The 23,940-nt window shown below is 44.2% G+C and overlaps 1 protein-coding gene and 1 pseudogene across 13 annotated transcripts in view, besides 1 other annotated feature; one reads left to right on the forward strand and one right to left on the reverse strand.

The window, feature by feature from the left end:
- Positions 1-23,940, reverse strand: part of PIK3CB (phosphatidylinositol-4,5-bisphosphate 3-kinase catalytic subunit beta) — a 182,231-nt gene that overhangs the window by 113,733 nt on the left and 44,558 nt on the right. For 2 of the 13 annotated variants that reach the window (NM_001437292.1, NM_001437287.1), the window contains exon 3: positions 3,621-3,687. The exons of the other annotated variants lie outside the window; for them this stretch is intronic. The gene's annotated coding sequence lies outside the window, so the exon portion shown is untranslated. The remainder of the gene's footprint in view (positions 1-3,620; positions 3,688-23,940) is intronic. 13 annotated transcript variants of the gene reach the window in all.
- Positions 1,677-1,971: a silencer, noted in NCBI's record as "tiled region #1798; K562 Repressive DNase unmatched - State 17:Gen3'". NCBI's record gives its function as "represses a minimal TATA promoter and a strong SV40 promoter by Sharpr-MPRA in K562 cells {active_cell/tissue: K562}" and the evidence as "EXISTENCE:reporter gene assay evidence [ECO:0000049][PMID:27701403]".
- GAPDHP39 (glyceraldehyde 3 phosphate dehydrogenase pseudogene 39) lies at positions 11,330-12,581 on the forward strand (annotated as a pseudogene).

Raw genomic sequence — 23,940 nt, forward strand, 5'->3', positions numbered from 1 at the left:
AAATTTTTTTAATGGCAAAATACACTGCAAAGGCTAAGTATCTTTCTTGTGCCATCTTTAGGTGCATCATAAAGAAAAATTTTATCCTTTACTTTAACAGTTGCCCATGCTTAAAAATAGAAAAATCCTTCCTCACTTACAAAGAAAAATTTTATCCTTTAACAGTTGCCCATGCTTAAAAATAGAAAAATCCTTCCTCACTTACAAAGAAACATCACACCAATCTCCAAAATCAATTCCCCTATCTACAATTTCAAGGACAAAACCCTCACATTCAAAGTATCAATTGATTCAGAAATATTCTAATGATTCAGCAACATACTGAAGATGCCTGTAAAGCAGAATTATTGTGTTTAAAGACCTAGAAATGTTTTTCCCAACTAGGAGTAAATCATCAGAGGGAATACTGCAAGGTTAAATATATCTACCTTGATATTGTCATTAGCAATTTACTAATAACTGAGTTAGACTGGCTGTCAAACTTTGTAAACACTCTAAGGAGATATATAGTATTAAGCTAAATATTCTCCAGAAGAATGATTTTCAATTTTGTCATATTCAGTATTCCCCTTTTTTTTTTGAGACAAAAAAAAAGTATCCGGGCATGGTGGCACATGCCTGCAATCCTAGCTACTTGGGGGGCTGAGGCAGGAGAATCGATTGAACCTGGGAGGCAGAAGTTGCAGTGAGCCAAGATCGTGCCACTGCACTCCAACCTGGGTGACAGAGACTCTGTATCAAAGAAAAAACGAAACCAAAAACAAAAACAAAAAACAAGCTTTTCAAATACATAGATATCTGTAGAAAATTCAAAAATCATGTTTATATAAGACTTTTTTTGTTATACAAAACTGTCCAGTGTACTTCAGGATGTTTGATTATCCATTACCTAACAGTAGCACTTCCCTCAATCACTGTGCCAACAAGAACAAAATCATAACCCAACAAATTTCAAAACCATCTTTTGGGGGCTTCACACAGTCCACTTTCAGAATCACTGCCCTAAAATAATTCCTACTGTTACAGGATCCTTGGGGTGTTGTTTTTCTGGCCAGAAACATCTGTGGCCAGTGGCGCCTTTGCCTTAGTTTTGACAGGGCCCACTAGGCTCAGTCTGCCCACTTGGCCTAGCAGGCTGCACTCGATTCACACTATGGGACTGGATCCCATGACTGCCAAGGGAGACTGTGTGAAGCAGCAATGGGTGTGTGAGCAAGTGTGGGGTCCAGCCCCTGCACAGTCAGACTTGCCAGCTGCTGCAGCAGGGCAGGCAGCTCCAGGTGCCAGTACGGGCACCAGCTCTCCCTGAGGCTACGGCTGGACCAGGTGTACCACAAGCAGCTTCCACAGCTGGCACTGGGGGACATGGTGGCACCCGGAAGCTTGGAGATGTCAGGAACCCCGGGGCCCCAAAGAGGAAGTCACAGTCCTGGCTCGGGGAGTTCCCAGGTCTGGGCTCCCCAAAGGGCTACAGCTCTTCTCTCCTCTTCGCCTGCAATGCGATGAACAAAGGTCATGTTTCAGCCCTGTTTGTGTTACAGTTCTTTTAGCCTCAATTGGCAGGTCCCAAGAATGAAGTACGCAGCCAAGCGGAGGGTGAGCAAGACAAAGAGGAGCTTTACTGAGTGACAACAGCTAAGAGGAGGACCTGGAGTGGGTAGCTCTTCTCTGAAGGCAGGTCATCCTGTCATCTCTGCAGCTCTTCAGCAGACAGGAGGCCCTGAAATGGGTAGCTCTTCTCTGCAGCTGGCTGTCCTGACATCTGCTGCTCTCAGCAGAGAGGAGGCCCTGGAATGGGTAGCTCCTCTCTGCACCCTGTTGTGCTGATGTCTGCTGCTCTCAACAGAGAGGAGGCCCTGGAGTGGGTAGCTCCTGTCTGCAGCCTGTTGTCCTGATGTCTGCTGCTCTCAACCAAGAGGAGGCCCTGGAATGGGTAGCTCTTCTTTGCAGCTGGTCATCCTGATGTCTGCTCAGCTCAGGCTGAGCCTGGGGCTTTTATGGGCCTCAGGGAGAAGGAAGTGTGTGCCAACTGGTCCACAGGCAGCCATGGGCAGGCCCGGAAAAGGCACAAGTTCCCACTCTAGTCCATGGAACTGGCAGCCTGGTCCCTAGCCTTCAGACCCTCCCTGGCCTGAAGATGGAGGCTCATTGAGGACCCAACCTACTTCCACCCAGAAACCTGTCTGCCTCCTGTTGCTGATCATGGCACCCAAGCTGTAGGTACCGCCTACAGGTCAGCGCCAAGCTGCCCTCAGCCTCCCCTCAGCTTCCCTCCTATGTTCATTGGTGCCCAAAATCTGGAGGGGGCCAAGGTGGCAGGGGGCTGGCGTGTCAGCACTACCCTGAGCATGTGCACACCTGGCTGGGATGTGACAACACTTGGGCTTGGCCCTGACTCTGCTCCAAGGTCAGACTGGGTGCCGACAATAGGGAAAAGCCAGACAGTGGGAGCAGGCATTTCCGAGCCTGAGAGGGCAGAGTGGGCCTTCTTGGGCCCCTAAGGAGTGTGGGGATGCCTGGTTGGGCAGTTGCACTGGCATGGGAGAGAAGGGGCTGGGGGGCCAATGGCAAGGAGTGTGCTCCTGCCTGCTCCATGGAGCAGGAGGCCCGGGTCTGCACCCACAGTTTGGGTAGCTGCAGCTGCTCCTGGGAAGCTCCCACCCACTAACTTGGAAGGGATGTGGCCCCATTTGTTCCCCAGCTCCCGCCAGCTCCACAGAGCATGCAGCCCCGGCCACACCTCCTTGCTGCAGCTGGCATGATGGCAGCAGCTGTTCTAGACGGTCCACCGCTGCCATCACTACTATTTCTCAAAGTAGCAACAGAGTCTCCATAATTTATCCAGATATAATTGTAGCCTATATTTTTCAAAGTAATGAACATAACAGTATACATTTCTATCTGCCAATGAATGATGTTTCCTATATTTGGCTATGTTGTTTTTGGCTAATTCTTGAAGGGTAAAGAAGCTCTAAGTCAAGAAAACTAGACCCTTAACTAATCAGAGGAATGTAAACCCAGTATAACTAGCTCTTAGTTTTCAAGACCTTTAGTAACAAATTTACCGAAGAGATATTCAAACTAAAACCACAAGATGACATGTAACTCTTCAGAGCTTCATGCACAACCCTTTAAGAAAATTATTGAGGGAGAGGGCATACTCACAAAATGTGGTGTTCTGCAATTAAAATATCATGTGTTTTGTCAGACTTAAAACTGTAACATGCCACTTTTAAAAAATGAGGTAACAAACCAATTGGTTACCAATAAATCTTCTGTAGCTATATTTTGAAGGAAATTAAATTATTGCCACTAGGTTGAAAATAAAATATATTCTGCTATTTCCCTTAGTCACTCTTATTTTATAGGACTACACAAACAGTTCAGCCTGAGAGAAGTGACTCAGAGTTTCAACTTGGAGGTATCTTAGGAGTTACAGACCCTACCCATTTTAAAGATAAGAAAACTAAAGCTAAGAGAGTTTAAGTAAATTATCCAGGAATACACACAGACAGAGTCAGACCCAAAAGTCAGATTTTTTCCCCAAAGCAATTAGCATAATTTTCCCCTTTTTCTTTTTTCTTTTTGTATTTAAAGGAAATGTCTTTTCACAGGCCTACCTTGCCTGGCAAGATCCTCAGTCTTGTATCATTCTTCTGTTTGAGCATCAAAGCAAGAGATCAAAGGCTAAGGACAAGCAGAGTTTTTAAACTATGAAAACTTTTCAAGGAAGCTATCAGAGGGCACAGGAACTTCAGCAGTGACAATTAGTTCAATAAACCCTTTAACTGTAACTATAACCCATATCCTGTCGATTGTTCACTGGAGAAAGGGGAAAGAGTTTAAAAGTTCTCAGCTTCCCCACCAATGTGCCAGCAGAACCCACTGGACTTTACTCCTTTACATCTAATGATAAGCAGAAAACAACATAAATTTGTTCTATAGGTGAACAAATTCAACCAAAATCATAGGAGATATTTAAAAAGAGATTTTTTTTGGCCGGGCACAGTGGCTCATGCCTGTAATCCCAGCACTCTGGGGGGCTGAGGTGGACGGATCACGAGGTCAGGAGATCGTGACCATCCTGGCTAACACAGTGAAACCCCATCTCTACTAAAAAATACAAAAAATTAGCCAGGCATGGTGGCAGGTGCCTGTAGTCCCAGCTACTCGGGAGGGTGAGGCAGGAGAATGGTGTGAACCCAGAAGGTGGAGCTTACAGTGAGTCGGAAAAAAAAAAGAATTCTTTTTAAAATATAAAAGAAAAAACATTACTTCTTTTGTTTTTGTTTTTGTTTTGAGACTAAGTCTTGCTCTGTCACCCAGTCTAGAGTGCAGTGGTGCAATCTCGGCTCACTACAACCTCCGGCTCCCAGGTTCAAGCAGTTCTCCTGCCTCAGTCTCCCGAGAAGCTGGTATTACAGGCACCTGCCATCACGCCCGGCTAATTTTTGTATTTTTAGTAGAGACGGGGTTTCACCATGTTGGCCAGGCTAGTCTTGAACTCCTGACATCGTGATCCACCCGCCTTAGCCTCCCAAAGTTCTGGGATTACAGGTGTGAGCCACTGCACCTGGCCACATTACTTCTTTAAATACTACATTTGCTATCACAACTTGAGGTTTCATTCAGAGGCAACTTAAGGTATGGGATCTTGATTCATCTGGGCTTTGGTCCCTACCCCCGACGTTGCTCAAAGACAACAAATCAGCCCCAACTGTTGATGTGTTCATGGTGAAGTATGCATTATAATGGGTACTTAAAAACTGAACAGTATAGAACTTCATTTTGCCTTTTTTTTTTTTTTTTTGAGACGGAGTCTCGCTCTGTCACCCAGGCTGGAGTGCAGTGGCGCGATCTTGGCTCACTGCAAGCTCTGCCTCCCGGGATCATGCCATTCTCCTGCCTCAGCCTCCTGTGTAGCTGGGACCACAGTCGCCCGCCACCGCAACCAGCTATTTTTTGTATTTAGTAGATACGGGATTTCACGTGTTAGCCAGGATGGTGTCAATCTCCTGACCTCGTGATCTGCCCACCTCGGCCTCCCAAAGTGCTGGGATTACAGGCGTAAGCCACCCGCGCCCGGCCCTAGAACTTCATTTTCTAAAGGTGATTATTTATTCCGAATTGCTATAATTATATGTAAGAGCTATTTCTAAAGTAATTCCACAAATTATTAAAGAATTGCTATAACATTATATATCATATCATTTATAATAAAATGACATTTAAACTTATCCTCTCAAATCAAAGATGGCACTCTAAACAGCTTTTACAAAACATCTGCACCAGCCTGGGCAACATAGTGAGACCCCATCTCTACAAAAATTTAAAAATTGGCTGGGTGTGGTGGCACATGCCTGTGGTCCCAGCTACTCGAGAGGCTGAGGGAGGAGGATCTCTTTCTCTTGAGCACAGAAGGTGGAGGCTACAGTGAACCCTGTTTGCAGAACTGCACTCCAGCACGGGCAACAGAGCAAGACTCAGTCTCAAAAAAAAAAAAAAAAAAATTTGCAAATAGGCACTGAGCCTTGAATAACTTGGTAATTCCAGTTCTGGAATGTACCTATTTACAAACCTGAATACAGAAAAAGTTTCATGTATAAAGCAAAATATATAAAAATGAAAAATTTAAAAAAATAACAGACCCACCTGATGGCATCCACTTGGTGCACTCATTTAAAATCATGTTTATCAAGAATATGTGGCAATGTTTAGAAATAACATGAAAAAAATCCAAATATAAACTAATATACACATTAGAATTAGAACTGTGTTTAAAGTTAAAAGAAAAAACTGCAAGTATAACCTAATGCGCGGCAATTAAGGGTGGAAGGAAAGACACTCATACAGTTCAAAAGTAACTATAAAATAAATGTTTCTTTTATTCAACGTGCCTTTAATGATGGCATACAGTTTATACACTCTTTTAAAGTTCTATTGTTCCAGACACTTTGAGTGGGTCCAAAGGAAGGACTTAGGTTAGAACTTAGCAATTTATTCTGTATTTTTAAAAATTATTTTATTTTATTTATTTATTTTTTTGAGACAGGGTCTTACTCTGTTGCCCAGGCTGGAATGCAGTGGCACGATCATGGTTCCCTGCAGCCTTGACCTCCCAGGCTCCAGCAATTCTCCCACCTCAGCCTCCTGAGTAGCTAGGACTGTAAGCACACACCACCACACCCACATCATTCTTTTGATTTTTTTTTTTTTTTTTTACTAGAGACAAGGTTTCGCTACATATTCCCCAGGCTGAGCTTGAACTCCTGAGCTCAAGCAATCCTCCTACCTCGGTCTCTCAAAGTTTTGGGATTACAAGCATTAGCCAAAGCACCCGGCTATTTATTCTCTTTTTTTTTTTTTTTTTTTTGAGATGGAGTCTTGCTCTGTTGCCCAGGCTAGAATGCGGTGGTGTGATCTTGGCTCACTGCAACCTCAGCCTCCCAGGTTCAAGTGATTCTCCTGCCTCAACCTCCCAAGTAGCTGGGACTACAGTTGCCTGCCACCGTGCCTGGCTACTTTTTTTGTATTTTTAGTAGAGATGAGTTTTTGCCATGTTGGTAAGGCTGGTCTCGAACTCCTAACGTCAAGAGATCCACCTGCCTTGGCCTCCCAAAGTGCTGGGATTACAGGCCCAGCTATTTATTCTTAATATGTATGTGTTCATTAGTATTTCTAAACCACAGCCCAGGCACGGTGGCTCACGCCTGTAATCCCAGCACTTTGGGAGGCTGAGGTGGGCGAATCACTTGAGGTCAGGAGTTCAAGACCAGCCTGGCCAACATGGTGAAACCTTCTCTACTAAAAATACAAAAATTAGTTAGGCGTGTTGTCAGGCGCCCACCTACTTGGGAGGCTGAGGCAGGAGAATCACTTTAACCTGGGAGGCAGAGGTTGCAGTGAGTTGAGATCACGCCACTACACTCCAGCCTGGGCGATAGAGTGAGTGAGATACTGTCAAAGAAAAAAAAAAGTATAAAGATAAATTTAGACATATAATCCATAACACTGGTATTTCAGTGGAGAGGGAGGACATTATTGGTATTATTTCATCAAACTAAAAGGGCTGATGAAAAAAATTTAATAAAAGTCATATCACTCTATTATTCCAAAATATACAGCTAGCCTCTTTAAAATATGCCATTTTAAGTTACTTAATACAGTCCTTGAAATGGAAAAAAAATTTAAAAATTAAATGGTCTTCTTCCAAACACATAATTTTTTATTAAGCAATGCTAATAAAACTCTTCAGATTTCTAGTTTTTAGTCTACCTTCCTCTTTTCTAATCTAAATGTTCGACCGTGTTTACCCCTAACATCAACAAGATAAGTTATTCCAAATGGATATATGTATTTCCAGGAGAAATGTATTTCATCCCCACAGTCTTCTCTCCTCACCCTCTCCACCCCTTGCTGAAACCCATTCAAGTGAACAGTATTTGGGACATGGGAACTATCATTAAGTGTTAAGCTATTCCAATCACTGTTTGACAATAACCACGTTTTAAGGTAAAAATGATTATTTCCCTAAATAGATAAAATTAATAGGACAAAGACTACCAAAGACCAATATCTACTACATTAACATAGAGACCTTCTCTAGCCTTTGAAGATATAACTAAGGGAATTCTCCTACATTACAGGAGAGCATTTTCTGTTTTTAAACACTTTTGCTAATAACGCATAAACAAAAATACCCAACATGTAATTGTACAGTTCAATGAATTTTTGGAAAGCAAATACCTATTGCAAAGCAAACCACTATCCAGGTTAAGACAAAGAACACTGCCAGCATCTCAGGAGACTCCTTGTTTGTCTCTTTCAGATAGCAACCCTCTCCCAAACCTCCTACCACCATCTGACTTCTTTTGTAAGAGGTGGGGGTTGTTTTGTTTTTTAATCACTTTAGGTAACAGTATGGGAGCAAAGCAAATATCCAAATAATTGTGGCTCACTGGATACACTTTTGCACCTATCATTCAAGTATATATTTTAGACAAAAGTTTCATTGTCTAGATGACTGCTTCTGTTTCTCACTCCAATGAGTGGCAATGGGTCCAATAGACTAACTGAGGTGGGTGCTTTTGAATGTCAACAAATCTTCCTTCTAGAAATGGTATCCAATCAATTCTGGTTCTTGTTTACAAGTACCATCATGACAATCAGGAATGACTGTTTGTGTAGCAGAGTACCCACATGTAATTGCAATGAGAGTGAGTCATGAGCCAAATTGTACAAGTGTGTGGTGGTGCTGGTGAGTAACTAACCAACAGCTCTCACATCTAGGAACTGAACCAGTGCCAGAAAGCCATCTGGATAGCAAACAGTAACATGAGAAGAATTTTAAATAGCTTACAGCTGTAGAAAATGCACTATTCCAGGCTTTGAATTCTTTTAGTTATTTCTGTCTGCTGTCATTTTGAAAATAAGTCATAATATGTAAAAATTAAAAGAGCATCCAATAAAGGCTGGCATTTATCCCAAGTAATTTCAGGATTACTCCTTTGCATGATGGTTTAAGTTTGGTCTGGCAAGTACTTATCATTTGTTTGTCTGTTTTAAACCTTTTCCTTGGAGACCAATTTTCTTCCTAAGCTATCCACCCATGAATGACAAAATGCTTCTGTGTGTAGCTTTCATTTCTCCCTCACTATGGACTGTAAATTGAGAGGGAAAAGACTAAGAAAAACTGAAGAAGTATCTGTCCTTGATGCCAAGTCTTCTTTCACTGGTTATTCTCTCTAGAGGACACAGAGAGTCCAGAGAGGCAGGCTGATAATGTCATCTCAGTGCTAGGCCTTGATCAAAAAGAGGAAGAGAAGAAAACTGCAGAGGGACAAAGTGGGAAAACAACTGAATTTCAAGGAAATGAATATTTAATAAGTACTTATTCTGTTTAAGATACCATATCACACACTTGATTGGGAGATGAGGTAATTACAAAACAAAACGAAGCAATTTGCAATCCAGCCTGTACCAGAGCAGTTAGGTCTAGTGAGAGACTAGCGGAGGCATGTCTGTTCTCTGAATGATTGCAGTGTTTTTTACCTCGACCTCCCAGAGCCTCAACCAGAAGGGATGAGGATGGAATACTGGAAAAGGGAAATACAGAGTACCCGCCTGAACTTCTTAAGGTGTGGGACTGCAGTGTCTGGGGATCAGGCTATGTCATCTAAAAAGTTGAGGCAGCACCACAATGTTGCTGTCATGAAACCCCCTCACTGCCTCACTGCCCCAGCCTATGACCTGTGCATAATGGGATGAGTACTGGGAGTTACATGGTTTGGAATATAATAATTAATCACATGTTACTATGTCTAAGATCCCAAAAGATCTGAAATCTTTATCTGTTATGCATTAACAGGACAGCTTTTGGATACTGTCCTGTATTTAAGTTATAACATCACCCTATAAGCTAATAAATTATATTTCGTTTCAAAACCCTCAAATATAGCATTCTTTTAAATTAAAAAGCATACATTGGCCAGCCGCGGTGGCTCACACCTGTAATCCCAGCACTTTGGGAGGCTGAGGTGGGTGGATCACCTGAGGTCAGGAGTTGAAGACCAGCCTGGCCAACATGGTGAAACCCAGTCTCTACTAAAAATACAAAAATTAGCCGGGCGTGGTGGCGTGTGCCTGTAATCCCAGCGACTCAGGAGGCTGAGGCAGGAGGATCACCTGAACCCCGGAGGCAAAGGTTGCACTGAGTGGAGATTGCACCATTGCACTCCAGCCTGGGCGATAAGAGCAAAACTCCATCTCAACAAAAAAAAAGAAAGAAAGAAAAATGACATTAGTATCCATTTCATACCATTAGTATAACAGTTAATAATTTAAAATGTTTCCTGACTGAACGTAGCTACTAAAACCAACCCATACCTTTTTCTTCTGGAAACTATGGGAATACTCTCAAGGGATTAAAAATGTTTTGGATAAAACATTAGCAAGGAAAGAAAGCTTTAAGAATCTAAGGCCGGGAGTGGTGGCTTATGCCTGTAATTCGAGTACTGTGAGAGGGCGAGGCAGAGGATCCCTTGAGGCCAGAAGTTCGAAACCAGCCTGGGCAACTTGACAAAACCCTGCCTCTACAAAAAAATACAAAAAATACAAAAATTAGCTGGGCGTGGTAGCACACACCTGTAGTCCCAGCTACTCAGGAAGCTGAGGGACGATCGCCTGAGCCTGGGAGGCAGACATTGCCGTGAGCTGTGATTGTGGTACTGCATTCCAGCCTGGGCGACAGAGTGAGACCCTGTCTCAAAAAACAAACAAACAAACAAACAAACAAACAAAACCCCAGCATGGGCAACATGGTAAAACCCTGTCTTTACCAAAAACACACCAGGCATGATGGCATGCACTTGTGGTCCCAGCTACTTGGGAGGCTGAGGTAGGAGGATCACTTGAGCCTGGGAAGCGGACATTGCAGTGAGCTGAGATCATGCTACTGCACTCCATTGTTGGTGACAGAGTGAGACTCTACCTCAAAAAAAAAAAAAAAAAAAAAGAATCTAAATAATCTAACAAAGTATTGAAAAGTAGCTTAAAAAAATTGTGATTACACGATCAACAGCACTGCTGTCACAACCTGGGATGATTTTAAAACATGGCCACAAAATTATTTTACATCACTCCTGCACCTACTGGTGCTGCCTGCCAAGGCTGTGGGCAAAGTCATCTCCAAGCTGAGCAGGAAGGTCACTGGCATAGCCTTCTATGCCCCCACCACCAATGTGTCCCTCATGGACCTGACCTGCCATCTGGAGAGACCTGCCAAATGTGATGAGAGGTCAGGTGCACGATCCCTCTCCTTGAATATGGCTTCAGTGATGGCTTGACCTCTAATAGAATACAGCAGGGGTAATGCTCTACTAATTCCCAGGTTTAAGAAGCTGCAGCTTCCATTTCCTCACTTAAGACACCTGCTTGTGAGATGCTCACTCTTAGAAGGTAGCCACCAAGCAGTGAACAGCTCAGGACAGACACATGGGAGAGGCCAAGGATAAGTGTTGACAAACTCCAGCTGACTGCTAGTACCAATAGCCAAACTTCTGAGTGAAGAAGCCTTCAATGACTCCATCCCTCAGACGTCATGTTTTTCCACCTGATGCCCAGACAACATGGGCCAAAGACAACCTGACTCTGGTGTGCCCCATCCAATTCCTGACTGCAGAACCAGAGCATAATAAAATGAATGTTTTACACCACTAAGTTTTGGGATGGTTTGTTACAGCAATATATCATTGCAGCATGACCTATTAGAATGAAATCACGCAATTACTACAGTCAATAATTCATTTTTTTCTTAAAAAAAAAATTTACACTTTCTGTTCCTCCCATTCAACAGCCACATCTTCTCATGTAACACCCATCACATCCCTGAGACATCACAATGAAAGTGAAAGCCAGGTAAACTGATTTGGCCTTATTAGACACCTGGTCACCAAGGCTGCTTTTAACTCTGGCGAAGTGGATATTGTCTCATCAAGGACCCCCTCATTGCCCTCAACTACACGGTCTATATGTTCCATGATGATTCTACCCATGGCAAATTCCGTGGCACAGTCAAGGCTGAGAATGGCAAGCTTGTCATCAATGAAAATACCATAACCATTTTCTAGGAGCAAATTCCCACCAAAATCAAATTGGGTGATGCCACCACAATTACATTGTGGAGACCACTGGCATCTTCACTACCTTGTAGAAGGCTGGGGCTCATTTAAAAGGAGAAACCGAAAGGGTCATCATCTCTGCCCCCTCTGCTGATGCCCCCATGTTTGTAATGGGCATGAACCATGAAAAGTAAAAAAACACCTCGCAATTCCCAGCAAACCTTCTATACCACTAACTGCTTAGCACCACTGGCCAAGATCACCCATGACAACTTTGGCATCATGGGAGGAATCATGACCTCATCCATGCTACTATCACTGACATCCAGAAGACCACTGATGGCCCATCTGGGAAACTGTGGTGCAATGGCTTTCCAGAACATCACTCCTGTACCTACTGGTGCTGCCAAAGCTGTGGGCAAAGTCATCTCCAAGCTGAGCAGGGAGCTCACTGGCATAGCCTTCTATGTCCCCACAGCCAATGTGTCCATCATGGACCTGACCTGCCATCTGGAGAGACCTGCCAAATACAATGACATCATGAAGGAGGTGAAGCAGGCGTGGGAGGACCCCTCAAAGGCATCCTGGGCTACTCTGAGTACCAGGTTGTCTCTGCCAACTAACAGTGATAACAACTTTTCCACCTTCAATGTTGGAGCTGGTATTGTTCTCAATGACTACTTTGTCAAGCTCATTTCCTGGTATGACAATGAATTTGGCTACAGCAACAGGGTGGTAGACCTTATGGTGCACATGGCCTCCTGGACCACCAGCCCCAGTGAGACCATGTAAGTAAGAGAGAGGCCCTCAGCTGCTGTGCAGTCCTGCCCCACTCAGTCCCCCGCCATCACACTGAGAATCTCCCTTCCCAGACACGGTTTCCATGCCAGACCCCCTGAAAAATGGGATAGGCCTAGAAAGCTCCACTTTGTAGTGCACCATCAATAAAGTCCTCTGTATTCAGCACCCCTCTACTGCCAAAAAAAAAAATAGCAACACACACATTTTCCAAATATATATCTTACTCTATGTCATTTCTTTTTTTTTTTTTTTTTGAGACGGAGTCTCGCTCTGTCGCCCAGGCTGAAGTACAGTGGCATGATCTCGGCATACTGCAAGCTCTGCCTCCTGGGTGCACGCCATTCTCCTGCCTCAGCTTCCCGAGTAGCTGAGACTACAGGTACCCACCACCATGCCCGGCTAATTTTTTTGTATTTTTAGTAGAGACAGGGTTTCACCGTGTTAGCCAGGATGGTCTTGATCTCCTGACCTCATGATCTGCCCACCTCAGCCTCCCAAAATGCTGGGATTACAGGCGTGAGCCACCACGCCCGGCCTTCTTTTTTTTTTTTTTTTTTTTGAGACAGGCTGTCACTCTGTCACCCAGGATGGAGTACAGTGGCACGATCTTGGCTCACTGCAACATCTACCTCCTGGGCTCAAGCAATCCTCCCACATCAAGCCTCCCGAGTAGTTGGGACCACAGGTGCATGCCACCATGCCTGGCTAATTTTTTGTATTTTTGGTAGACGTGGGGTTTTGCCATGTTGCCCAGGCTGGTCTCGAACTCCTGAACTCAAGTGATCCATCTGCCTTAGCCTCCCAAAGGGCTGGGATTACAAGCATGAAATCGCTGCACCTGGCCAAATTTTTTTTTTTTTTAATAGAGACAGTGTCTTGCTTTGTTGCCCAGGCTGTCTTGAAACCCTAGCTCAAGCAATCCTCCTGCTTCGGCCTCCCAAAGTGCTAGGATTACAGGTGTGAGCCACCATGCCTGGCCCAAGGGCATTTCTTATGAGAAATATTTTCTTCTAATATACAGATAACTTTAGTATATCAGCAAACAAGTTAATCTCTAAAATTAGAATTATGCAGGTCCAAGTTCTACTGAAATTTAAATGGCACTGAGAACTTTTTTTTTTCTTTTGAGACAGAGTCTCGCTCTGTTGCCCAGGCTGGAGTGCAGTGGCGAGACCTCAGCTCACTGCAACTTCTACCTCCCAGGTTCAAACAATTCTCCTGCCTCAGCCTTCCAAGTAGCTGAGATTACAGGCACACATCACCACACCCGGCTAATTTTTGGTATTTTTAGTAGAGACAGAGTTTTGCTAATGTTGGCCAGACTGGTCTCGAACTCCCGACCTCAAGTGATCCACCCACCTTGGCTTCCAAAGTGTTAGGATTACATGTGTGAGCCCACCAGAAAACTAACTTTTGTTTTTTTGTTTTTTTTGTTTTTTTGAGACGGCGTCTTGCTCTGTTGCCAGGCTGGAGTGCAGTGGTGCAATCTCGGCTCACTGCAACCTCCGCCTCCAGGGTTCAAGTGATTCTCCTGCCTCAGCCTCCCAAGTAGCTGGGATTACAGGTGTGTACCACCATGCCCAGCTAATTTTTGTATTTTTAGTACAGATGGGGTTTCACCATTTTGGCCACAATGGTTTCGATCTCTTGACCTCGTGATCTGCCCACCTTGGCCTCCCAAAGTGCTAGGATTACAGGTGTGAGCCACTGTGCCCAGCCCTTAAACTATAATTAACTTACTTTAGTTGTGAATGTTACTATCATTTCCAAAAAGAAAGCAGTGTGGGCTAAATGTTTTTAAAATTATGTCTTTTTTCTTTTTTTCTCTGAGACTTTTTTCTGAGTGTCTCTCACTGTCATGCAGGCTGGAATACAGTGGCGCCATCTTAGCTCACTATAGCCTCTACCTCCTGGGATCAAGCCATCCTCCTGTCTCAGCCTCCTAAGTAGCTGAGACTACAAGCATACACCACTTCACCTGACTAATTTTGTGGGGTTTTTTTGTTTTGTTTTTTTGTAGAGACAGGGTATCGCTATGTTGCCCAGCCTGATCTAAAATTCCTGGCCTCAAGCAATCCTCCCGCCTCAGCTTCCCAAAGTGCTGATGTTACAAGCATGACCCACAATGCTCCAGCTAAAAATTAAGTCTTTACATAAAAATGAAACTTCTGGGCTCGTGCCTGTAATCCCAGCACTCTGGGAGGCCAAGGCAGGAGAATCGCTTCAGCCCAGGAGCTCAAGGCCAACCTAAGCAACACAGTGTGACCTCATCTCTACAAAAAAATAAACAAAATTAGCCAGGCATGGTGGTGCTCACCTGCAGCCCCAGCTACTCAGGATGTTGAGGTGAGAGAATTGCTCGAGCCCAGTAGGTTGAGGCCATAGTAAGCCAAGATCTTGGCACTGCACTCTAGCCTGGGTGACAGACTGAGATCTTATCTCAAAAAAAAAAAAAACAACAAAAAACGAAAATGAAACTTCTGGCTAGGCATGGTGGCTCATAGCTGTAATCTTAGCACTTTAGGAGATGGAGGTAGGAGGGCGGCTTGAGCCCAGGAGTTTGAAGCCAGCCTGGACAACATAGTGAGACCCCCATCTCTACAGAAATTTTTTTTTTTTTTGAGATGGAGTCCCACTCTGTCACCCAGGCTGGAGTGCAGTGGTGCAATCTTGGCTCACTGCAAACTCCGACTCCCGGGTTCAGGTGATTCTCTTGCCTCAGACTCCCGAGCAGCTGGGATTACAGGTGCCCACCACCACGCCTGGCTAATTTTTTTGTATTTTTTAGTAGAGACTGGGTTTGTCATGTTGGCCAGGCTGCTCTCGAACTCCTGACCTCAGGTGATCTGCCCGCCTCGGCCTCGCAAAGTGCTGGGATTACAGGCGTGTGCCACCGTGCCCGGCCCAAAAAATTTTTTTAATTAGCCAGGTGAGGGGGTGCACACTTAGGGTCCCAGCTACTTGGGAGGCTGAAGTAAAAGAGGATCACTTGACGCCAGGCAGTCGAGGCTACAGAAGGCCACGTTAATGCCACTGTACTCTAGCCTGGGTGAAAGAGCGAGACACTGTCTCAAAAAAATTAAAGTTTTAAAAAACAATTCCTATTACCCAACTTTGGTTACAAAACTATCAAGACAATTTCCTTGCACTAAATTGCTAACACAGACCAAATTTATGAATCAATTGACTCAAGCTCTAGCCAACTTTGTTAGATGTTTTAAAATATATTTAAAATTCTTATTTTCCAGAGAAAATGTAGACTATTTAAACAAGTTATATTTCAAAAGCAACTAGTATCATACCAATACATTTGCCTACAACTAAAACTTCAGAATTATTTCATCTCACATTATAAGCTTCCATTTGCTATAAGGCCATGATGCAGTTTGTACTCGGGCCTGGATAAAGCCACAGAGCTGTGAAGACCTTGGGTGTGATAAGAAGGAGAAGACAATGATTAATACTACCTTTAGCATCTCATAATCCTTCAAAATTGAATTGGAACAAGGCGAATGAAGAAACGATGGAAACACTTTGCTTGTGCCTTTTAAATTTAATCACTAAGGAAGAAGGGTGTGTGTGTGATAAATCTCCTGAGTATAGATCCCTTTTCTTATACCTTAGAAATTGAGACCTACAGAAATATGACAACTATACCAAGGTCACTATGGCAGAGACTAATTTTTTTCTTCCACAGTTACAGGATTGTGGCTGGGCACTTAGCGGATACACATTCCAACTTCCTGTGCAATTAGAAGTGGCCATGTACTAAGTTCTTTCCAGTGGAATGTTCAGTGGAAATGACCTGTGTCACTTCAGGTCAGGGCTTAATTTAAGAAAGTTGGTGTGACACTTACACCTTCTCTTTCCTCTTCCACTGGTCATAGTGGAATAGAGGATGACAGAGTCACAAGATGGAAGAAACCATTTGAAAGAGAACCACCTACCAAAGAGGGCCATCCAACTTAACTGTTCCACGAGTGAGAAATAAATGTCTATTAAGTTTGGACCATTATTCATTTTTGGTCTGTTGACAGCAATTTAGCCTTCACTAATTTAGTCAAACACATAATCTAAGTAGCTGCAAGGCCATGATTAAAACCCACATATCCTCCCTCAGTCAGTCCAATATCACTGTTTTCCTTATCACCCTTCATCCAAACAGAAAACAGAATTATGAAGAGCAGTGGGGGATATCATTAATGAGGCTACCATTATGACACCAGCAAATCATTCACTCCTGCTGAAGCTCAACAACTTTTATCCTTGTTCATTACTCTGCACAATGCATTTTAAAATCCCCTGGCAGAAATGAACATATCGACAGCTCTCCTCTTCCTCTGTAATCTTCTGATGAGAATTATTTTATTTTCATAAACAAATGTAGAGGTTAAAACATGTTAATTTGAGGCAGATAAAGAGGGTGATTTTTTTTTTTTTAATTTTTTTTGGGACAGAGTCCCACTCTGCCACCCAGGCTGGAATGCAGTAGTGTAATCATAGTTCACTGCATCGTCAACCTCTGGAGCTCAAATGATCCTCCTATCTCAGCCTCTCAAGTAGCTGGGATTACAGGTGCATGGCACCCAGCTAATTTTTTCATTTTTTGTAGAGACAAGATCTCACTATGTTGCGCAGGCTGGTCTCAAACTCCTGAGTTCAAGTGATCCCCATCCCCCGGCCTTGGTCTCCCAAAGTGCTGGGAATAGAGGCATGAGCCACCATGGCCCATGAGGGTGATATTTTAACAGAGACAATGTAAGACAGGAAATTAGCTAGGCAGGCAAGGAAAGAAAGACTATATGCAAAGACCTGAGAAACCTTAAGCATTTATGGAATTCAACAAGCAGAGTACAGGGGCAGAATGGTACTGGGGAGGCTGGTAGGTCAAATTAAGGTGCTGTTCTTCATGCAAAAGAACAAGAGATTCAATGAAGAATGTCAAACAGATAAATAAAAAATGATAAAATAAACAACTTTTGAAAGTTACAGTGTGAAAAAGAACATATAAAGAACATGAATCCAACAAAAAAAATTGGGATAATAATTAGTTTCCCAAAAGCCCAAATAACCCATAAACATATGGGGGAAAATGTTCAACCTCATTGGTCACCAAGAAAATGTAAATTAAAACCACACTGAGATGCCATTTCATAGATCGTTGCTTATGGGAGAATAAACTGATTTAACCTCTTCCAAAGGGAGTTTAGCATCAAAAATTGCATTACTAGGTATAATATTCTACGAAAATGCTTATCCGGGCCAGGCACAGTGGCTCACGCCTGTAATCCCAACACTTTGGAAGACAAGTGGATCACCTGAGGTCAGGAGTTTGAGACCAGCCTGACCAACATGGTGAAACCCCATCTCTACTAAAACTGCAAAAATTAGCTGGGTGCAGTGGCATGCACCTGTAATTCCAGCTACTTGGGAAGCTGAGTGGAATCACTTGAACCCGGGAAGCAGAGGTTGCAATGAGCTAAGATCACGCCACTGCACTCCAGCCTGGGCAACAGAGAGAGACTCTGTATCAAAAAACAAAAAAAGGCTCTCCCTCTCCCTCCCCCTCCCCCTCTCCCTCTCGTCTCCGTCTCCGTCTCCCACTTTGCACGGTCTCCCTCTGATGCCGAGCGGAGGCTGGACTGTACTACCACCATCTCGGCTCACTGCAACCTCCCTGCCTGATTCTCCTGCCTCAGCCTGAGGAGTGCCTGGGATTGCAGGCGCGCGCCGCCACGCCTGACTGGTTTTTGTATTTTTTGGTGGAGACGGGGTTTCGCCCTGTTGGCTGGGCTGGTCTCCAGCTCCTGACCGCGAGTGATCTGCCCGCATGGGCCTCCCGAGGTGCTGGGATTGCAGACGGAGTCTCGCTCACTCAGTGCTCAATCTTGCCCAGGCTGGAATGCAGTGGCGTGATCTCAGCTCGCTATAACCTCCACCTCCCAGCCGCCTGCCTTGGCCTCCCAAAGTGCTGAGATTGCAGCCTCTGCCCGGCCGCCACCCCGTCTGGGAAGTGAGGAGCGTCTCCCTGGCCACCCATGGTCTGGGATGTGAGGAGCCCCTCTGCCCGGCCGCCACCCCGTCTGGGAGGTGAGGAGCGTCTCTGCCCGGCCACCCCGTCTGAGAAGTGAGGAGCCCCTCCACCCGGCAGCCGCCCCGTCTGGGAAGTGAGGAGCCCCTCCGCCCCGCAGCCGCCCCGTCTGGGAAGTGAAGAGCATCTCTGCCCAGCAGCCGCCCTGTCCGGGAGGTGGGGGGCAGCCCCCGCTCGGCCAGCCGCCCCGTCCGGGAGGGAGATGGGGGGCAGCCCCCGCCCGGTCAGCCGCCCCGTCCGGGAGGGAGGTGGGGGGCAGCCCCCGCCCGGCCAGCCGCCCTGTCCCGGAGGGAGGCGGGGGGAAGCTCCCGCCCGGCAGCCGCCCCCTCCAGGAGGTGGGGGGGCGCCTCTGCCAGGCCGCCGCCCTGTCTGGGAGGTGTACCCAACAGCTCATTGAGAACGGGCCATGATGACGATGGCAGTTTTGTCGAATAGAAAAGGGGGAAATGTGGGGAAAAGAAAGAGATCAGATTGTTACTGTGTCTCTGTAGAAAGAAGTAGACATAGGAGACTCCATTTTGTTCTGTACTAAGAAAAATTCTTCTGCCTTGGGATGCTGTTAATCTATAACCTTACCCCCAACCCCATGCTCTCTGAAACATGTGCTGTGTCCACTCAGGGTTAAATGGATTAAGGACGGTGTAAGATGTGCTTTGTTAAACAGATGCTTGAAGGCAGCATGCTCCTTAAGAGTCATCACCACTCCCTAATCTCAAGTACCCAGGGACGCAAACGCTGCGGAAGGAAGCAGGCAGGGCCCTCTGCCTAGGAAAACCAGAGACCCTTGTTCACATGTTTATCTGCTGACCTTCCCTCCACTATTGTCCTATGACCCTGCCAAATCCCCCGCTCCGAGAAACACCCAAGAATGATCAATAAATACTTAAAAAAAAAAAAAAAAGAAAATGCTTATCTGAGGATATGACATTCACATGAATGTTTAAGGTGAAAGTTTTCATAGTAACAAAAAACTAGGCATAATCCTAATGTACATTAATAGATCAATAAATAATAGTTTACAATAGGAAAAATGAATAAAATACAGCTACACACATCACCATTAATGAACCTTACCAACAATGTTAAAAGAAACAAAAGAATATATATAGCATGACCACATTTACTGGAGTATATGAAGCAAGACTCCATCTCAAATAAAATAAAATAAAAGTAAAATAAAATCAGGCTGGAGCTTCCTCATTTTCCCCAGTTCTCTTCACAGTGTTAAAGAAAACAGTCTCTCCTGGGTGCTCAGAAGCAGCAGAAAGAGAGCTCCAAAGGTTGCTTTAAAAATGTCTCCTCACAAAAATTACAGATTTGTAGTCATGAGCTATATATAATAATCTCCATTCACTAATAATCCTTAAAACTTTGAATAAAAAGTTTAGGTCCTTTTTGAAAATAATGTGATTTTCTATTTAATTTTTTTTTTAAGATGGAGTCTTGTTCTTGTCACCCAGGCTGGAGTATAATGACGCGATCTTGGCTCGCTGCAATCTCTGCCTCCCAGGTTCAAGCCTCAGCCTCCTGAGTAGCTGGGATTACAGGCACGCACTACCATGCCCAGCTAATTTTTTGGATTTTTAGTAGAGATGGGGTTTCACCATGTTGGCCAGGCTGGTCTCGAACTCCTCACCTCAGGTCATCCACCCACCTCGGCCTCCCAAAGTGCTGGGATTACAGGCATGAGCCACCGTGCCCAGCCTGTATTTAAATTTTAAATACTATAAGTTTTATAAAATTATACTTAAAATGTACTATACTATGCATAAAACTGGTAATCCTCCACATAAAACTATTTAATAACATGTGACTATTTAACATGGTTTAAAAAACAGTATTGAGACCAACAAGGCAGCCATTTATATTACCCTTTATGTACTACTTCCTCTATCATGTGGCAGTCAAAAGGCTAAGTGAAATGCTTGCAGCAAAGAAAACAGTTTTGAAAGGTCATGCTATGCAGACAGCCAGAATTTCTTTCACAATATCCTTACTGTCTATGGCAAACTGCATGACAATCTGACCACAGTTATTTTCTGTGTAAAAGTAAAAAGCACACCACATTATCAAAGGACCAGAAACAGTAAGCACTCAACAATATCATCTTTATGAACATTTTTTCTAACTGCGTAAACATCCATACATATTAATGAAAAAGAACCCCGAGGCAAAGACAATGAATTGGAGAAAGAGGAACTTGGAAAAACTGGAAGGCAAGTTTAAACTATACCACTCTGTTTACTCATAGTGTTCACATAACATAAGAAGCTCCTATAGCTGGGCGTGGTGGCAGGTGCCTGTAATTCCAGCTACTCAGGAGGCTGAGGCAGGAGAATTGCTTGAACCTAGGAGGCAGATGCTCCAGTGAGCCGAGATCGCACCACCGCACTCCAGCCTGGGCGACAGAGCAAGACTCCGCTCAAAAAAAAAAAAAAAAAGAAGCTCCTAAAGGAAAACTTTTCAAATTAAGACACATCATTTACAAAGAAAAAAGCCTAATTATAACAATATTGAAGACATTAAGATCATCTTTCAAAATTTCCATTATCTTAATGACAATTGCAAACAAGGTGCAAAGCTTCAAAAACCTCTCTGTGGCAGCTGTAATCCCATCACATTTTTTCCCTTTCATAGCTTTTACTGGTTTATCATTCATCTGAATAGGGAATATATTTTTCCAACAGTTAAGGTAGTACACAATCAATCAGTAAACACAAAAGTGAAAATTTCTCCAGCTCCTTGTAAAATTTCCAAACAGGAGGTTAACAAATGTATTCTTTTTTTTTTTTTTAAAGAAAGAAAAAAAAATCTAGTTTGTTTAATTGCTGTCCTATCCTAAAAGATCATATTCATGACTACACACAGCCAAGTAACATGGACACGGTCCCTGAAGCTTATGGCAAAGCATACTTAAGATTTTTTAAGGCCCCAGAATTTTAATTCCTGTGAAAATCTCTCACTAAAATTTAACTAGAAGACTTTTTTTTTTTTTTTTTTGAGACATGATCTTGCTCTGTCACCCAGGCTGGAGTATAGTGGTATGACCTCGGTTCAGTACAACTTCCGCCTCCCAGGTTCAAACGATTCTCCTGCCTCAGCCTCCCAAGTAGCTGGCTCTACAGGCATGCACCACCACACCTGGCTAGTTTTTGTATTTTTGGTGGAGATGGGGTTTTGCCATGTTGGCCAGGCCGGTCTCTAACTCCTGACCTCAGGTGGTCTGCCCGCCTTGGCCTCCCAAAGTACTGGGATTGCAGGCATGAGCCACCACGCCTGGATGAAGACACCTTTCTTTACCAGTTCTGACCTTGTAGCAGAGCATAAGGATTTGTGCTACTTCTAAAACTACCAGAAAACAGTGTATGATAAACATTCTTTTAAGGAAATAAACTTAAAACATTCCATTATTCAAAAACCACAACTATACTACTGGCTGGGCACAGTGGCTCACGCCTGTAATCCCAGCACTTTGGAAGACCGAGGCGGGCAGATCACCTGAGGTCAGGAGTTGAAGACCAGCCTGACCAACATGGCAAAACCCTGTCTCTACTAAAAATACAAAAATTAGCCAGGCCTGGTGGCATGCGCCTGTAATCCCAGCTACTTGGGAAGCTGAGGCAGGAGAATCGCTTAAACCTGGGAGACTGAGGTTGCAGTGAGCCGAGATCATGCCACTGCACTCAAGCCTGGGTGACAGAGCAAGACTTTGTCTCAAAAAAAAAAAAAAAAAAAAAAAAGGCCAGGGGCGGTGGCTCACCCCTGTAATCCCAGCACTTTGGGAGGCCAAGGCGGGCGGATCACCTGAGGTCAGGAGTTTGAGACCAGCCTGGCCAACATGGTGAAACCCCGTATCTACTTAAAATACAAAAAATTAGCTGGGCATAGTGGTACGCACCTGTAATCCCAGCTACTAGGGAGGCTGAGGCAGGAGAATCGCTTGAACCCGGGAGGCGGAGGTTGCAGTGAGCCCAGATCGTGCCATTGCACTCCAGACTGGGGGAAAAGAGAGAGACTTCGTCTCAAAAAAAAAAAAAAAAAAAAAAAAAAAACAAAAAACAACACCACAGAGTTTTTTTTTTATAAAACCAAACCCAGGCAAGGCTGTGGAGAAACTGGAAATCTTGTGTATTGCTGGTGCAAATATAAAATGGTATAGCCAGTATGGAAGACAGCAGGATTGTTCCTCAAAAAATTAAAGCATATGGCAGGGCGTGATGGCTCACGCCTGTAATCCCAGCATGATATTGTTGAGTGCCTACTGTTTCTGGTCCTTTGGAGGCCAAGGCAGGCAGACAGCTTGAGCCAGGTGTTCAAGACTAGCCTGGGCAACGTGGCGAAACACTGTCTCTAATAAAAATACAAAAAATTAGCCAGGTGTGGTGGTGGGCACCTGTAGTCCCAGCTACTCAGGAGGCTGAGGTGGGAGGATCACTTGAGCACAGGAGGTGGAGGTTGCAGTGAGCCATGACTACACCACTGTACTCTAGCCTGGTTGACAGAGTGAGACCCTATCTCAAAAAAAATAAAAAGAAAAATTAAAGCATATGATCCACTATGATCTAATAATCCCACTTCTGGTGATGTATGCAAAAGAAATGAAAGCAGGGATTTACTCAGATTTGTACACCAGTGCTCACAGCAGCACTGGTCACAACAGCCAGAAGGTAGAAACAGCACCAGTGTCACCATCAACAGATACATAGACAAAAAAAATGTGGAAATGTGGTGTGTACATACAATGGAATATTATTCAGCCTTTTTTTTTTTTGGAGACGGAGTCTCTCTCTGTCGCCAGGCTGGAGTTTAGTGGTGTGATCTCGGCACAAGCTCCACCTCCTGGACTCAGGGGTGATTATCCTGACTCAGCCTCCCGAGTAGGTGGGACTGCAGATGCGGGCCACCACACCCAGCTAATTTTCATATTTTTAGTAGAGACGGGGTTTCACCATGTTGGCCAGGCTGGTCTCGAACTCCTGACCTCGTGATCTGCCCGTCCTGGCCTCCCAAAGTGCTAGGATTACAGGCGTGAGCCACCAGGCCCAGCCTATTCAGCCTTTAAAAGGAATGAAATTCTACTATATGCTACAAAATGAATGAACCTTAAAAATATAATGCCAAGTGTAATAAGTCAGAAACAAAAAGACAAATATTGTATGATTCCAATTATACAAGGCATCTGAAGCAGAGTAGTCAAATTCATAGAGACAGAAAATAGAACAGTGGTTTCTCAGGGACTAAAGAAGAGGGGGCAATGAGAAGTTATTATTTAATAGGTATGGAGTTTCGGTTAGGGATGATGAAAAAGTTCTGGAGATGGACAGTGATGATGTACTTTTGTGAATGTACTTAATGCCACTGAATTATACACTTAAAAGTGGTTAAATTTCCCCCAGATGCAGTGGCTCACACCTATAATCCTAGCATTTT

The sequence above is a fragment of the Homo sapiens genome, chromosome 3 (assembly GCF_000001405.40).
Source record: "Homo sapiens chromosome 3, GRCh38.p14 Primary Assembly".
In the NCBI taxonomy this organism is placed as follows: Eukaryota; Metazoa; Chordata; class Mammalia; order Primates; family Hominidae; genus Homo; species Homo sapiens.